The 18945-nt window shown below is 36.0% G+C and overlaps 1 protein-coding gene across 14 annotated transcripts in view; it reads left to right on the top strand.

The window, feature by feature from the left end:
* MAGI2 (membrane associated guanylate kinase, WW and PDZ domain containing 2) overlaps nt 1–18945 on the top strand; it is a 1436613-nt gene that overhangs the window by 815913 nt on the left and 601755 nt on the right. For all 14 annotated transcript variants that reach the window (XM_047421093.1, XM_017012845.3, NM_001301128.2 and 11 more), the window contains one exon: nt 10516–10635. In XM_047421093.1, coding sequence (XP_047277049.1) covers nt 10516–10635 — 120 coding nt within the window. The remainder of the gene's footprint in view (nt 1–10515; nt 10636–18945) is intronic.

Below are 18945 nucleotides of genomic sequence, written 5' to 3'. Positions count from 1 at the left end.
GACTTAATTGTGCAAATAAAACTATGGAATTAATAAAACAATATGGTGGCCTAAATAATTTGTTATAACAGAGAGCTTTATGAGTACTAATTCCAAAGTGTATGTTACCTATCACCTGATTTCATTTGATAAGTATAGTTGTAAACAAGCTGTAATTTTAACATTTAGCAAATCAGATAGCTTGGTATATGAAAATAATGCAATGCTATTATTTCTTACTTTTTGGAGATCTACAGATTTTTCATTTGTCATCTATTTTTTGACATCCACCATAGTTTTTCTTCATGAGAGATCTTCTGCATTAGATGCTTATTTTTTTTTTTAACATATTATCATGTATCACTGCTGGTGAGCTATAGTCAAGCTCCTAAGTCTTTCCCAATATCAGCCATACTGTTGCATAGATAGAGCCAAAATAATTTATATTACTTCAAATAATAAAGATATTTATAAGGACACATAAATAAAGATAGGTGCATTATTTCCCAAATTCATTTAACTTCTAAAGAACACTTCACTATGAAAAATACTCCTCATGACTCTGTTCATCTATGCACCAGAAAATGAAGGATGGCTTATTTTCTGTGAATCCGGTACATGGCTATAGAGTACTCCAGGGCCAATGCCAAAGTCATGACCTGCATGCTTTATGGATTGTTGTAGTTATATTTGATGAGGAAATTTAACACTGTTTTTATTTTGGGTTCCCTGAGCTATGAGTGAAATTGGAGCAGTGGTTCTCCAATTATGGTTTCTGGACCCGCAGTGTCAGAGGCATCGCCTGAAAACTTGTTAGAAATGCAAATAATCAGGCCCCACCGCAGCAGGGTGACTCAGAGACTCTGGGGAGTGAGAACCAGCTATCTGTGCTTTAACAAGTCCTCCACATGGTTCTGATGCAGCCTATGTTTTTTGTGTGTTGTTTTTGTTTGTTTGGTTTTGGTTTTTTTGTTTTTTGAGATGGAGTCTTGCTCTGTCACCCAGGTTGGAATGCAGTGGCACGATCTCGACTCACTGTAAACCCCGCCTCCCGGGTTCACGCCATTCTCCTGCCTCAGCGTCCCGAGTAGCTGGGACTACAGGCGCCCGCCACCACGCCCAGCTAATTTTTTGTATTTTTAGTGGAGACGGGGTTTCACCGTGTTAGCCAGGATGGTCTCTATCTCCTGACCTCTCGATCCGCCCACCTCGGCCTCCCAAAGTGCTGGGATTACAGGCGTGAGCCACAGCGCCCGGCCTTGATGCAGCCTATGTTTTAAGAAACACCAAGTTTGGGTCCGATGCTTCCTCAATCCAAACTGTTAAAATTTAAAACAGTAATTGATGCCATATGGGGCACTATTTTGAACCTTTATATCCAAGATATTCAGTGAGGTTTCTTCTTCAAAAAAAAAAAAAAAAAAGCCTGTTTTTGGAAGATACCTAACATTGTTAGTATATGCCAGTGCTGCTTTAAACAAAAATTGACAACATGTTATCTTAGGGGAAGAGAGTTTTGAAATAATTACTGAGGTTTAAAGCAACACACTGTTAAGAAAATAAGTCAAATTAACTACCAATATTTTACAAATGGATTTGTCAAATCTTCAATATTTTATAAAATGTGCATAGTGTTTTATTGAGGCTATTAATAATTTTTATACTTAATAAGTGATTTATTTCATTGAATTGTAGGTTTTAATTTTTTTACCTCAAACCAATCCACCCCATCAGTTAACAGGAAATCTATAAGGCCTACATTACTTTATAATCTGTCAATCACATACAATTCAGTGACCCAAACGATATTATTTGCTTTGCTTACTTTAGCTCTATGTTTGTATAAAACCATACTTTGGGATTTTATGTGATTGAAAATGAGTATAATAAAACCCAAGGCCTAGGCTGGTTGTGTAAAAATTGATTACAGGCATTGGCCAAAGGAATCTATCGGATGTATGTTTTTATTGGCAGCATACACAAATCTGATGATTGTGTTCTTACTTGCTGATGAGTAACTGTGACCAACTTAAGTGTCTTCAAGAATCTAAGAGATAGTTAATCAAAGGTCAAATACAGAGGAAGTCACCCTAGCTGTCAAGATCTATTTTTTCCAGCTTGCAGTTGAGAAACACCAGGAAGAAGAAAGGGGGAATATATGAATAAGAACAGAATTCATTTTCTCACATTCTCACACAATGACCCATCTGCTTAGAATACATTGACTTAATGATTAATTCCAAGTCTGTTTCTTTAGCAAATATGTATTGGGTACCTGCCATGCGGCAAGCACTATGGAATTTTTAATATATCAGAATAGATCACAATAGATGACTGCACTGAGCCATCATCTAAGTAATAATACTGTCAAGCTGGTGACTCTTTTGAAGAAAAGTATTTTACTCAAACTAGGAAATAGCAGAAAGCTGAGGGGAAATACGCTTTAGAATTATATTTACCACAAATGCCCTTTTCTTCCTAAGACAAAAAAGAGCAATGTTCCTTCATTTAAACAGTAGGTTAATAAAAAAATTCCATTGGCACTCCCAGTTGCCATGGTAGCAAAATGACAAGTCGCTTCCATGTGACTTCACTGTGTATCAATAAGCTAACCATTTGGGAGATAATGCATTTTGTTTAGACATGTCTTTTGAGCAGAAACGCTGTATGCTTTCATTAACTCATGAAGGAGGTGTTGTTCATACAGTACTTAATTTAGCAATTAATAAATAAGCTGTTGTTTAAGAAATTAATTACTAAAAGATGAAACAAAGCCTCAACTTAGCATTTTTGCTCTTTCAGTTCTATTTATTTTTCCTTTGGAGGAGTGGTCTGGAATAAATAATAAGAATAAAATATATAAATTATAATTTGGATAATAAAACTTATTTTGGACTTTCCTATACACCACTTAGGAAAGTCCCAACCAAAACAGAAGAGCAATAAAAGAAGGTGAGCTTCAGCTATATGATGAATCATCTATATTCCCTCTTTTATTCTCCACATCTTCCACCCTATTTCTAGTGCTAGATAATTACTTGTTATTACTGTTGAGTCTTGCTTTGCTGTCAACTATTCATCATCTTTTGAGTTGCAAAAGCAACTGTAATTATTTCAGCATAAAAGTAAGTAACCACTTCAAGAAATTTAACTTGTTTCCCCAGTCTAGATATTAATTACCTTTAGCTGCAAATTACCATTGTACAACACTTCATTTCATATCACATATATTTTCCTTATTTTTAGAATCATACTACTTTCCAAAGAGGTGTTCACAGATTTCCAATTGCTTTCTCCTTCTTCAGCCACTGCCTTGCCCATTGACGTAACATCAACTAATATCCTTTCTTCCCAGACACATAGATCTAAAATGCTTTCTGACTCTTGTAGGTGCTATGCCTGCAGGTAAAATTAAATGACCTACTTACTAATCAGGTTTTGTGAGCACTTTCACACTTTTCAAATGACTCAGCAAATGGCAAAAACCTTCTAGCAGCCTAGGCCATAGGCATTAGCTGTTTTACATGACTGTCTACAAAAGACAAAAGGATCCTTGTAACTAGTGACCAAGCCACTGTGTACTACATCTTACTGTGTAATCAGACAAAATGGATTTATATCTTGACTCATGTTTTTTTCATACTCAAACAGTAAAAAAGACAATTTGTTTCTTCAAGCATAAATTTTTTTTCTTTATTATAAGTGTTAGCCTGAGTGAAGTTAAGTGATTTAAAGCTTTGATTATAATACACTCCAAAAGTAAGATACCACCAATGATATTTGTGAAATTGTAGTTTTCTTAGTAGCACTATTAATATTACTTAAAAGTAATGCAGATATTGTTGGCATGGTGTTTATGCTTTTACTTTTTATAATGCCCTTTTATGTCTATTATTTACCTCAGTGCATAAGAAAATCGATGATGAACTGTTTTTATCTAGAATCATATATGTAAAACATTAAAACAAAAATGGAATGTAGATGTCCTCAATTTTTAATCTAAGAACCTTTTTATCGCACCATTTTATCACACCACAGCATTCTCTCACTTTTTTTTTTTTTTTTTTTTTGAGACGGAGTCTCGCTCTGACGCCCAGGCTGGAGTGCAGTGGCGCGATCTCTGCTCACTGCAAGCTCCGCCTTCCGGGTTCACGCCATTCTCCTGCCTCAGCCTCCGGAGTAGCTGGGACTACAGGCGCCCGCCACCACGCCCGGCTAATTTTTTTGTATTTTTAGTAGAGACGGGGTTTCACCGTGTTAGCCAGGATAGTCTTGATCTCCTGACCTCGTGATCCACCCGCCTCGGCCTCCCAAAGTGCTGGGATTACAGGCATGAACCACCGCCCCCAGCCATTCTCTCACTTTAAAAAAAAACTTTTAGGTTCTGGGGATACATGTGAAGATTTGTGACATAGGTAAACTCATGTCATGAGGGTTTGCTGTGCAAATTATTTCCTCACCCAGGTACTAAGCCCAGTACCCAATAGTTATCTTTTTGCTCCTGTCCCTCGTCCCTCCTCCCGCCTTCCGCCCTCAAGTAGACCCCAGTATCTGTTGTTGCCTACTTTGTGTTCCTAAGTTCTCACCATTTAGCTCCCACTTATAAGTGAGAACACGCAGTATCTGGTTTTCTGTTCGTCCATTAGTTTGCTAAGGATAATAGCCTCCAGCTCCATCCATGTTCCCATAGAATACATGCTGTCGTTCATTTTACGATTGCATCGTATTCCATGGTGTATATCTACCATGTTTCTTTATCCAGTCTGTCACTGAAGAACATATAGGTTGATTCCATGTCTTTGTTATTGTGAATACTGCTGCAGTGAACATTCGTGTGCACGTGTCTTTACAGTAGAATGATTTATATTACTCTGGTTATATACCCAGTAATGGGATTGCTGGGTTGAATGGTAGTTCTGTTTTTAGCTCTTTGAGGAATTGCCATACTGCTTTCCACAATGGCTGAACTAATTTACACTCTAATAACAGTGTGTAAGTGTTCCCTTTTCCCACAACCTCGTCATTTTCTTCTTTTAAAAATGAGGGTTGACATGTAAGTGTCTGTGTATATGCACATACACCAGTCATTGGAACACACCATGCACTGCCATGTTTATCCTTTGAAAATGATTTTGATAGTTCAGAAATACCTGTATGAGGCGCCAAGATGTTAAGCCAAATGACCTAAGCTAATCCAAGCAATATGTGAAATAAGTGGAATTTCTCTTTAAGGATGTAGTGATTCTTTCTAAAATATAACCAGGCTCTTTCTGGATCCCCTGTTGACTTCCAGCAGTCTCCCACTTAGCTAACACTCACCTGGGTAGTGTACAGCCTACAAGTATTGTGGGTCTCTGCTCCCCTTCAGGTCTTTTTCTCACAGTCTCTTCTCCTCCACCCTTTTCTCCATACTGTCTAAGCTAACAGAAATCTCAGTATTTGACCCACTAACTTGTGCATAGGTTCTAACAGTCTGATTTATGGTCAATTAATAAGATTTAACCCTTTATAGCATACTATATAACTTTTTATTTTTTATTTATTATCTGCCTCTCCCTATTAAAATATTAGTTCCATGAAGGCAGGAATCTTAGTCTGTGTTATTCAGAGATATAGCTCAAGCATCTAGAATAGTGTTTGGCACATAGTAAGTGCTCAGTTAATATTTATGGCAAGACTTCATTAAAAAAATCATTTCTGCTCTTCGAGGCAATAGTACTTAACATACAATAATCCTTGTTGAGTATTTAAAATGTGCCAGACATTGTCTTAAGTATGTTATATGAATTATCCCATTTGTTCCTCACATTAGCCCTATGAAGATGCTACTACTATTGTTCCCATTTTACAGATAAGAAAACTAGAGTTTACAGAGGTGGAGAACCTTGCTCGAGGTAATACTGATAACAAGTGGCTGAGTCCCAAACAGCACAAGCAGCTTACTTTCAAAATATCATACATTTTAAAGGTAGTTTCTCCTTCATCTGAACCAAAGAGTAATTCTAATGGTGGAAATTTTAGGTTAAAGAGAAAGTAGAATGACACATGACGAGCCAGAAAGGAGGGTAGTACAGAAACAGAAAATTCTTACATTATGTCTTCTCACATTTTCCATCAAGGCAAGCCCATGTAAAGAAACTGCACAAGCTGGCATACCATGAGAGTTGTGCTTTATTGTAAATAATAGAACCATGGCGTTCTCTGTTTCTTCTTGACTCTCAGTATTTTTCTCTCCCTCCCTTTTTCAACCCACTCTCTTGACCATAGATTGGGTAGGTAAGCCTTTAGAGAGGAAATGTGATCAGCCTGGTGCTTCACCAGGGCTCATCAGGAAGAGCAGCGATGAACTGAAAGAAGGAGGCAGGCACACCAGTGACAGAGCCACCGCCTGGTCCAGGAGGGAGGTGCTGGGATCAGAGACAGTACAGATCGGAAGGATGATGTTGTGGAGATATGGGACATAGAACTTGCCAAATATTTGGAGATGGGATAAAGGAGTGAGGGAGGACTCAAAGGTAGGTGACTCTGAGGTGAAAGTTTCAAACCAGCACAACTAGAAGAATGGTGGTGGCATGAACAGGGGAGCAAGATGAAGAAATACATTTTCATGATTACATTTTCCTGAAATGCTGTCAGATTTGCCACTAGTGAGGGTGTAATAAAGACATTTTCAGGCTTGGAAAATCTCAAACAATGTGGCTTCCATGCAACCTTCGACAGGAAGCTTCCAACAGATGTGCTCAGCCACCATGAGGATGGAGACCACAAAAATAGACATGGGGTCTAGGGAAGAGGAGAAACTGCACAAGACAGAGGCAAAGTGACTCCCCAGGATGATGGCAAAGGATGATCCCTGGATGGCAGCTGAGAGTCCAGACTGGAGCATGTCAGAAGCCTCCAGGAAAGATTTCTTCAATAGGATAAACTTGATAAAATATAAAATGTATTTGTGAATTTTGAGAGGAGATTTATCTCTCAAGGAGAGAGTTTATTTAATGATTAATGAATGGAAAATGGAAATGAAAACATATTACATATAGAGTAATCAAAAAGTTACACACAGCCGGGCGCAGTGGCTCATGCCTGTAATCACAGCACTTTGGGAGGCCGAGGTGGGGGAATCACAAGGTCAGGAGATTGAGACCAGCCTGGCCAACACAGTGAAACCCAGTCTCTACTAAAACTACAAAAATTAGCCAGGTGTGGTGGCGCACACCTATAGTCACAGCTACTCAAGGGGCTGAGGCAGGAGAATCACTTGAACCCTGGAGGCAGAAGTTGCAGTGAGCCGTGATCACACCACTGCATTCTCAGCCTGGGCAACAGAGCAAGACTCTGTCTCAAAAAAAAAAAAAAAAAAAAGTTAAACACAAAAAGTCAGTACACCACATTTCAGCTGGGAATAGATTTACATAGAATTAATAATGTAAACACTTCACACTAATCTAAACACAAGATTGTTCCGTTAGAAGAATGGAAGAAAAGCAGGAAGTGGTATGTGCAGTAGGGTTAGAATTATAGACAAAAAAAAGAGTTAAACTCTCATTTTTTAAAAAAAATCAAGAAAAAATTACTAAAGTAAAGAATCAAGAGGCATCTTAAAGTATTTAGAGATTTGGGGGTTAAACAAAGTAATCAGCTAAAATCAGTGTATTTTTCTCTGGATAAAAAGAAAGGGCTTCCAGGGGCTGGGTGGTGATGAGGGTCTGCTTTTTAAAAATCAGAAGTCTTATAGAATTGCTTGAAGACTTAAAATATCTGTATATGCAACTTTGACAAATAAAATATTTATTTAATTTAAATTATTTGATTTAAAATATAAAATTCTAAAAGCAAAGGAAAAGAAATTTGTCTTAGCAAGATGGATGATAATTCCAATAAAGGCTTAATTTTGAAGGAAAAATACGAGAGTAATGCAGATAAGAAAAATTAGGAAACTTTAGGAAATTTGGTTTCAGATTGTCTCTTTACCAAGAAAGAATGAGCTCATGTCTTCTGCAAAACGTCAAAGCAGTTGAATATAGAAAATGTTGGGAATATAAGAGAGAGAGACAAGAAGACACACATAAAAGAATTACCAAGCATCAGGAGGATCAAACTGACATTAAGTAATCTGAATTTGTGGAGTACTTTGTCAGAGAAAGTTTTTGTTTTTTTATAGCAACTGCTGTCAGTAATGAAATAACCAACAGTGAACATGGGGGTTAATTATGAGTGGGGTAATCATGAAGGTGAACTAAAGGAAGGAAGAGATTCTGGTTTTTTCATAGTCCTTTAGTAGTTAGGGAGGCAAATAAAGCCAGATTTGGGGAACATCAGGGAAATTACAAGAGATCAGGGACTAGAGATCATAATTAGAAAGAAGAACAGAATAGGAAAAAAGGATCAGAAACTGATGTCAAAGATGGAGGTTGCAGCATTTGAGATTGTAGAGCAGAACTTCAAGCCACAATGAGGTAGGTGAACTGCCAGTCCAAGTAGGCAGCCAGCATCAGTTGGGTCAATAGCAATAGGTGATACTCACTGATGTTGCCTGTCACAGAAGGAAGAACTCAATCACAGAGGTCTGAAGTGCAAGATGGAGATGGAAAGCCACTTAGTGAACCGAAAGTACTGATGGGCCTCCCAAGAAGAGCACAACTACAAATGTTCACTAAAATTTGGTACAGCCATGTTACTCCAAACAAGTCAGCAGCCCTGGAAATTGCCCTCAATCTTGTGATCCTGGTGCTCACGTGGTGCTAGGAATGCATTGCCATACTGCAAGCAGTTAAAGTGTGCAGCTTCTGAAATATGCAGATAAATTAGTAAGGAAAATTGAGTCTTTGTTATGTGATTTTTTTCTTAATGATTGGAGTGTGTTCTAAATAAACAGAAAAACAAATTGATTGCCAAAAACCATGTTAATGCACTTTTAATTCACAAGGGTTAAGCACATAAAAGTCAGAATATTGAAAGTTAAGGTTCTCATAGAAACATTAACTTGACAATATTATGCATACTAGATGTAGGTGGTTTATATTTTATAGCATAAAAGCAGCAGGAAATATTGCAAAATGTGACTCAGCTAAACAAAATAACCAATTCAGGGAAAGCCATTAAACATGATTATGGAAAAAAATTGTTTTTGCAGCCCCCAAAGATGAGTTATAAAACTTGATTTTAGAAAATAATAACTTCAAATCTTAAAAAATGTTTTCAATAGGAATTATTCATTTTTATCCAAAATCAAATTTCCCTGGCATATTATACATTCTGACATTACCTTCTGCTTCTCAGTTGCAGTCCAGATTTTATTCTAATAGACCAAAAGGAGAACCGACTGGCTATTTTCATGACCTAGTTGATAAAGATTTCAAATGCAGAGAACAAAAATAAAATTTAAGGATTTAAAATACTTTTTTAGCATATAGACAATATGGGGGAGTCTATATATATGAAGCCTGCCAATGTACTACCTTATATATCTGGCTTCTATATATTTCTTTGCATGTATGCATTATGTAAATTCCAATCTGACCATGCAAAATGCCTATGTAGGTGGCATAGAAAAAGGAAGAAGCTTAGGGCATATTCAAGGGAGGAAGTATTACCTGGAAACAAACCTGCAGCCTTGAAGATGTCTCTGTTTCTGCTCTTGCCTCACAAACTGGACAGCATGCCTGGGAGGCTGTGTTCTTCAGGAGAGCTGGACTGAGCTACAGTCTGAGTAGCTGATACTCCTGCCACCTTGGCCGTCATAGCTCCATTCCCTCTGTGGGTGATGGAGGAGTCAGGAACAGTGGTCCCATGCAGTAACCCTTGGTTGGGAGTCACTTCAGTCAGAATTAGAGGCAGTAATGAAAGAAGGAAGGCCGCATAAGGGAGAGCCTGTGTGATGGAGTCAGAGAAAGTTTTCTCCTGTCAGATTAGATACTATATTCCCAGCCTCACACTACTGCAATTTAATTATTACACAATTCTAATTATTTAATTTTAAGTAATAGTAAAGGTTTTGCGATCCTTTAAATCAAATAAAAATGGCTCTGGGTGCAAATTTAACAAATGAAAACCAACAAACAGTCCTCCCAAAAGAAAGCAGATTATGAAATTAAAAAGATAAATTGACATTTTCCTAAGATCGCTACTTTCCATTGTGTTTTATGTCATAGCACAGCAGTCTGCAGGACAATAGAGGTTCATTCATGGAGTGAAATATATAAATTCCTGAACTAGCAGACTGCTGGCTCAATATCCAAACCACCTCTTCAAAAAGGGCACAATGTTCTGAATTTTTCACTGAAAAATATACGCAGCCATATCCCATGGCAATGAACTCTTTATAAGCTTGATGAAGAAAAGTGCTTTGTACATTTACTTTAATCTTTACCCCCTGCTGTTTTCTGTTGCCAAACAAACAGAAGGACAAATGCAAACTGCCAACTTGCAGGATGTACAAACAAGTGGCACTGAATATTCAGAAGTATGGTGGTATTTCTAAAGTTCAACAACAAATCACTTAGCGTCTTTCTTTTGTTTTTACTTTTCTTTATTCAGGCACCACAAGGCCACATAAGGAGGGTGAGGTCCCTGGAGTGGATTATATTTTCATCACTGTTGAAGATTTTATGGAATTGGAGAAAAGTGGTGCTCTCCTAGAAAGTGGGACTTATGAAGGTAAGCACAACGTTCCTGAGAAATCTTTCTTGTTGGCATCACATTTTTCTCATTCGATGGAAATGCACGGGGACACCAGGTTACTAATGGGCTGTTTTGGGTTTGAGAGCTTTAATAAGATGAGTTTAGAAATGTATCCTAAAAAAGTTAAAATACATCTCAATTAAGTGTACTTTTAATATGCCTGGAGAAAAATATATATTTTTAAATATTTTATATTTTATATATATACACCTATTATATATATACCTATTTTATACACACACACACACACACACACACACACACACACATTGAAGTATTCTTGTGCTTGTCTCCTGAGGTTAAGCTGTGATCTCTCAGATAAAACGTCTTTATCTCAAGATGTCATCTAAAAGAAGGAAGGGCTAGAATTCTAGTCCTGTCATTATCCCTGTGTGGCTTTCTCAAATTACTCTACCTCACTGGCCTTCAGTTTCCTCCTACACGAAATTATGGGGTAGAAAAAAATATGATCTGTGAATGAACTCCAAAGCTCTACCACAATAGAAATCTCCTTGTGTACCCAAATCAAATGTGAACAGCAAATGAAACCAAAACCTTGAATGCAGGAAATATGCCTCAGTGGAAGAAGCACTGAAACATAAGCCAAAATCTCTGTTTCAAACTAGGCTTCATTATTTATCTGCTATAAAAATTAAGTAACAGTTTATGTCACTAAACCTTAGTTGTCTCATCTGTAAAAGTGGAATGATGGCATTAAAAATACAAATAAGTAACAGTATGTTGATATGATTGCATTTATCAATTTGGGTAACATTTATATGCATCTAGTTTATATCTAATGAAAATATGTATCTGTGTATATATATAATGAAATTATAACTAAAAAAGTAGAAAATAATTTTTCATTCCTACTTCACAGTTACAAAGTATATGTACAGATGCTATTATTAAGTTGAAAGATTAGTTTTATTAACCTGCAACTAATAGTGATATTAAAAACAAAATTCATGATATATACTTTGCTGCTTAGCCTATCATACATGCAAAGTTCACCAAACATCATCAAATAAGCTGGGTTTGCCACGTTAACAGTTGGGCCCTCTACTTTCTCCTTGATTTATAGTCATGTGTCTCTTAATGAAAGGGATACTTCTGAGAAACACATGGTTAGGCTATTTCATCATTGAGTGAATATCATAGAATGTACCTACACAAACCTAGATGCTACAGCCTGACACATTCTAGGCTATGTACTGTAATCTGTTATTTCCAGGCTACAAACCTGTATGGCATGTTACCATACTGAATACGTAGGTAATTGTAACCCAGTGGTAAGGATTTGTTTATCTAAACACACCTAATCATAGAAAAGGTTAAGTTAAAAATATGGTATAAAAGATTAAAACAGTATAGCTATATAAGGTGCTTACCATGAATGGAGCTTGCAGGACTGTAAGTTGCTCTGGGTGAGTCCATTAGCGGGTGAGCCCAGAGTGACTGAGTGATGAGTGAATGTGAAGGCCTAGGAAATTACTATATACTACTGTAGACTTTATAAGCATTGTACACTTAGGCTATATTAAATGTACTTAAAACTATTTTTTCTTCAATAATAAATTAACCTTAGCTTAATGTAACTTTTTACTTTATAAACTTTTCCATTTTTTTTTAACTTTTTGACTCTTTTGTAATCACACTGGGTTTAAAACACAAACACATTGTACAGCTGTACAAAAAGATTTTTTCTTTCTTTGTATCCTTATTCTATAAGCTTTTTTCTATTTAAAATTGTTTTAATTTTATAATTACTATACTTAAATTATGTTTTCTCTGGGGGCTGGGAAATGTATTTTTACATTGTAGCCAATCATTTTTATATTTGTCAGTTTAAATCTTATGGTTCTTTTTTTATCTCTCGATGTCAAATTTTATAGTATTTTTAAATGAATCCATTTAATTAAAATGTTCAAACAAAATTGTTTTAACTTTTTAAACTTTTTTGTTAAAAACTAAGACACAACCACACACATTAGCCTAGGCCTACACAGGGTCAGGATCATCAGTATCACTGTCTTCCACCTTCACATCTTGTCCCACTGGAAGGTCTTCAGGGGCAATAATAGGCATGGAACTGTCATCTCCTATGATAACAAAGCCTTCTTCTGGAATACCTCCTAAGGACCTGCCCGAGGCTGTTTAACAGTTAACGTTTTTTAATAAGTAGAAGGAATACACTCCTAAAATAACAATAAAAAGTAAAATACAGTAATTATCTAAGCCAGTAATATAGTCATTTATTATCAATATCAAGTATTACACGCTATACATAACCGTATGTGCTATACTTTTTTTTCTTCTTCGACTTTTAAGTTACGTAGGTAAATACGTGCCATAGTGGTTTGCTGCACAGATCATCCCCATCACCTACATATTAAGCCTAGCATCCATTAGCTGTTCTTTCTGATGCTCTCCCTCTTCTCAGCACCCGCCCAAAAGGCCCCCAGTGTGGGTTTTTCTCCCCTATGTCCATGTGTTCTCATCAACCAACTCCCACTTCTAAGTGAGAACATGCAGTGTTGGGTTTTCTGTTCCTGCATTAGTTTTCTGAGGACAATGGCTTCCGACTCCATCCATGTCCCTGCAAAGGACATGATCTCATTTCTCTTTATGGCTGCATAGTATTCCATGGTATATATGTACCACATTTTCTTTATCCAGTCTTTCATTAACCATTCAGGATATAGGCATGGGTAAATGTTTCGTGATGAAAACACCAAAAGCAATTGCAACAAAAGCGAATTGACAAATGGGATCTAATTAAACTAAATAGCTTCTGCACAGCCAAAGAAGCTATCATCAGAGTGAACAGACAACCTACAGAATGGGAGAAAATGTCTCAATCTGTCAGACAAAGATCTAATATTGAGTCTACAAGGAACTTAAAAAATTTTTACAAGAAAAAAATAACTGCATTAAAAAGTGGGCAAATGACATGAACAGACACTTCAAAAGACATACAAGTGGCCAACAAACATGAAAAAAACTCAACATCACTGATCATTAAAGAAACACAAATCAAAACCACAATGAGATACCATCTCACATGTCAGAATGGCTATTATTGGAATGTCAAAAAACAACAGATGCTAGTGAGGTTGCTGTACTTTTATACAATTGATAGAACGGTAGGTTTTGTTATACTAACATCCACAAACACAAATGAGTGATGCATTGCACTATGATATTACAAGGGCTGCAGTGTCAATGGGCAATAAGAATTTTTCAGCTCCGTTACAACTTTATGGGACCACCATGATATATGTGGTCTGTCAGTGACCAAAATGTCGTTACACAATGCATGACTGTTCTTAGTTTAGTGAACTGTAGTTATTCAAGAACTCAATATTTTGAAGTTGTTAAAAGTATTAAAATCTCTTCCATTAGCATTTATAAGGCAATCTAGGTGGAGACATTTGCCTAAATTGCGGCTGAGATGTTTAATTGCTTCTTGCCACATTTACAGGAAATAGGCAAAAATACCCAGGAAAAGGAAACAGTTTTATGCATTAGTGCTGTACCTTCTTCATATTGTCAAAAATAAAAGATAGTAGAGATTTATTGAAAACATTTTAAATAAAGAAGTTGTGTTCATAATATAAAGCTGCCTTAAACTATATATGAAAAAAACTGTAAATCATAGAAAATAACTTTATCAAAGATGTTAAATAATACATTTTACAGAATAATTTCCCATGGGCTTTGTGACTTTATTTAGTAACATTCATTAGTTTGCACACATTTTAATATAATGTATTATGCTTTACAACCTTATTTAAATATCACTTATGTAAGAATGAACCAATGGCTTAACATATCAGATCATTAAAAGAGTAACATGATTAACAATATGACTTTTTGTTTGTAAAAATAAAGACTCTCTAAACTGATTTTATATAAGCTGAAAAATTATGTCAAATGTTAATGGTAAATTTCCATTGTTCTCATGATACACTAGATGTCATGACATTTAATATCAGTATTTTAAAATACAGCTTAAACTTTAGGTTCCAATTCACTTTTGAAAGTAATATCCTGAAACTGTATGAACATAACCAAGTTTTGTGAGCCAGAATGGGTTACTCTGAATCTTCTTCAGACACCTTTTCAGTACTGGCACTTTAGTTTGCTGGGTTTGGTGCCATCTTAATTGGCCTAGTGTGCATAGAGCTGATTATTGGAGAGTGAGGCTGACTTCCATATAAGACTTTGACAATTGTATCAATACCATTGCTTACAAATACACATTGTATACATGGATTAATAAGAATCTCTTTTCTCAAGTCACATAATGACCTGGGTAAACACTTAGGGAATGTTCTCAAACCTCAGGATCTTCAGATTTTCCTGTAACTACAGCTGAGGAACTAGCAAAATTCACCCAATAAAAATTGCTGCATTTCTTCACTACTTGTCATAAGCTCTAGACCTAGGGCTACCACTTAATGTGTTTTTTGGGAGTTTTGTTTTTTGTTTTCATTTTGTCAGGGAAAACTAAGGAATGTCTTTTTGCACTGTTGGTACTTTCAGGATATACAGAATTCTGTGCTACTCAACTAGACAAAGACCTGAGAACTTTTATGTTGAAAAACCTAGCAATTAATGGTTCCTTTAATAAAAAGTCTCATTTATTTAAATTACACATTCTCCCTTCTGCAGTGTTTAGGTCATTGTTCCCTTTCCTCCTCCTCGCCTACTGCAGTCTCATGCCTTCGCAGTATTGTTTAGAGTTCTAGGTCAGACCAGAAAATTCATCTATGATATTCTGTGAATACACCAAAGAAAATAAGAAGGAATTGAGTTACTCTCAGCCTTAAGATTACAGACCTTCTGTTAACTATGTGGGATCCATAAGACTGAAAGGGGGTCCCAGAATCTAACCCACAAACCAGAGCAGCAAGACTGCTAATGTAACTGGAGGTAGAGCCATAAACCCTGTTTCTTCTTGCTCATCTGAAATGCTTCCAAAATTGGTGCATTTATTGTCAGGGATATTAGAAACTACTTAATTTGTGTTTTCTATTCACAAAGATCAAGAGAGTCCTTTATAAAATGTCTAGTTTAAGCTGCTCATCATAGAGAAAGCCAATTTTATGGTGTTTCTATGCTTCAGCCTCACCATTGGGTTTTAGAACAGGAAACACTCATCCGAAAAATAGTCATGAGGAAAGTCTACTTTTATTTTTATATGTGTGCCTTTTTATTATTGCTAATTCTCATTTTAAACTTTGTGGATAGATGTGGCTAAAGCATAATTTGTCCTTTGGTTAGAAATCAGATAGATTGTCCTGATTTGTAGTCCTGCCTCTTAAGCCTTTTAAGAAATTAACTTAAAGTCCTTGTTCCAAAAGAGCAATTCTGTTACTTCCTGGAGCCTGCAAGGAAGGGCTTAATGTGCTTTAGTTACCATCTATAGCTATGCCACATGGCTGTAGGTAGGGTTTTAGTTGATTCTTAAAGCCTTTCTTCTGCTTCCACCCCCCAATTCTGAATGGCTCATTTGAATTTGATATAGAACATCTGCTGAATAGCCTTGCATGTGAATTGCCTGGGGGACTTGGCCATGATAGTAACCATCAGGTGTTGGTAAAGGGACTCTTTTCCATGACTCGGATGATTTCATCCTCACCTTTTCATATTGAATCAGGTTTAAAATTTAGTTGACGAATTTTATTGTTAATAAATTGATTATTAATAATCCATTATTGATTAATAAGCACTACTGATGAGTCTGACAAACTCTCAAGTAACATAGAAACTATGAACCTTCATGTTAGGACTGAAGGTGTTGACTTCCTGTGAACACAGACCACAGAGCTCTTTGGATGAATGCAGATAATTCCCTTGGATTTAAGGTCACCTGCAGGTAAAGGTGAGATGCCAAGAGGTGGAATGAAATTAGTAAGTATGGCACTCTAAAAGTTAGGTACTCCAAGTACCTGCAAGGAAGACAGGTCTTTGGGAACTGTCCAAAGTGCTGAATTAACCAGGCCTCTAAGTCAGCGAATCCTGCCTGACCTACTTCTTCCAGGTGTCTGTGATTTTACATTCGTGATTTCACTCACCACTTACAGCAGTTGTCTTCCTCAGCCTGTGTTCTGAATGTCATCATTAACTAAACCTACCTCCCCTGATCTGTGCTTGGATTGATTTCATTTAATTCACCTACTGAGATAATCCACAACTAAGTTCCAGAACACCACTTCTGTTGTAACATCTGCTACCATATTAGGCTGTTTTGTTTTTAAAATAAAGCTATTTTTCTATCTATTGAAAAGGTCATTGATCCTAGAGTTAAATGTTTTCTTTAAGTGGACATAAGCCCAATTGTAATATTGTCCCAATTTTTAAGAGGATCGAATCAAGACCAGCAAGTTATTTAGGCATCTGACACAACATAGTACAAATACGACATTTCCCTCCTCCTAATGATGTGATTTCTTATAATCGTGGACCCTAGTATACACATAGACTTGAGCCTACTGCAAACAGCACACCAGGTTTCTTGAGCAATTTTATTAAGAGGACTGTGAAATTCAAGTTTTCTCATAACTACATGAAGGAGTGCTGTACTTCATGATGTAGCACATAAAATCCTATAGAAATTTAAGTATTAAATACAAATAATTTTCTAGGCAATTAAGCTAAACACTGCTATGATGACAGAAGATGTATAACAAATTCTACACAAATCTATTTCATTTTACTAGCTAAAATCAGCTTTTATTTTAGCATAGTTTGATGTATTGATGAAATTTTTAATCTCAGATTTTGAATCTGCAATCAAGATAGCATTGGGTGATAAAGAGATACTCATAAAAAATCATTATTGGCACCACAGATCATCTTGAGCAAAACCATTCTTCTATCAGTTCAAATTTCTATCCACTGAAATATAAATAATATTTCTTGAAAGGCATGTCAATGCTTAGATTGATGCTAAGATTTTTGTCATTTTAGAAGACCAAAATGATTTCATTTTTTCCCCTTTGCACACTATTACAAGAGGAAATTTTTACTGTGTAAGTAATAACCTTCATAACAGCAGTAGATTCTTGGCACTTAAAGTTAAAAGGGTCCAGCTGTTTTTTACATATCCAGGTTATAGCATTTTTGTCTTTTGATTCCTGTTTCTGGTAATATTTCTATTGTGGAAGATTCTAGGCCATGCATTTGGGTGTACTTTTTAGGAACACTGACCGTTTACTGATCTCACTAAATGTTTATTTGACCAGTAGAAGAAAACATAGTGAAGTTTTATACCCCTTTAAGGTTTTATAATGCCAGAATTTTTTGGTGAGTGATTCAATTTGTGTTCAGAGTTATCAACAGATAGTGTACGGTTTTTGCATGCTATGTTGGTCCAATGTAAGGCACTAAGAATGGAAGTGTCATTGTCTTCTATAATGAAGTACAATTCGCTTTCAGTTTAGGAATTTTTTGAGCCCAGCTTTTTTGAAATATGCAATGTAAATGCCTATTTCTAAGCACTTTTTTCTCCCCAAAGAGACTAGAAGGACTGACATAAGCAACTAATGATTTTAATATTATCATATAAATCATATAAAATTATTAACTTAAAGACTAATATCACAGAAAATGAAGTGACTTGCTCTGACACCTTAACTACAATATTAACCTGTTTACTGTTTGTTCTGTAAGTTTTTTGTTCCATTGTAGCTGAAGGAAATATAATTAAGGTCAGTATGCATGGGCATAGGATTCACTTCTTTGACTCTCTCACAATCCATAATATTATTAGGTAAAACCTAGGGTTCTGAAACTGTGATGTTCACAGTTTAATTCATTTTTCTTACACTCATGTCTTTAATTACAATGATTTACTAACTCTTGTACACATCTCCTAGTGACTTTTTTCTTTTTTATGTTGCTTTATTTTTAATGGACCCATAATAATTGCGTATATTTATGGGATATAATGTGATGTTTCAAAACATGGCACTATGGAATGACCTAGTCAAACTAATTAACATCTCTAGCACTTCAATATTTGTTGTTTCTTCATGATGAGAACATTTGAAATTCTTTTTTTTTTTTTTTTTTTTTTTTTTAGCGATTTTGGAGTATGCAATCCATGATGACTATAGTCACCATGCTGAGTAATAGATCACCAGAACCGATTCCTCCTTCTAACTGAAACTTTGTACCCTTTGACCAACATTTCCCCTTGATGTGTCTACCCTCCGTCCTTTACAGCTTCTGGTAACCACCACTCTACTCTCTCCTTCTATGAATTTGACTTTTTTT

This window comes from Homo sapiens, chromosome 7 (genome assembly GCF_000001405.40).
Source record: "Homo sapiens chromosome 7, GRCh38.p14 Primary Assembly".
Taxonomy (NCBI): domain Eukaryota; kingdom Metazoa; phylum Chordata; class Mammalia; order Primates; family Hominidae; genus Homo; species Homo sapiens.
The sequence above is the reverse complement of the archived record's forward strand: the minus strand, read 5'-3'. Positions and strand labels throughout refer to the sequence as shown.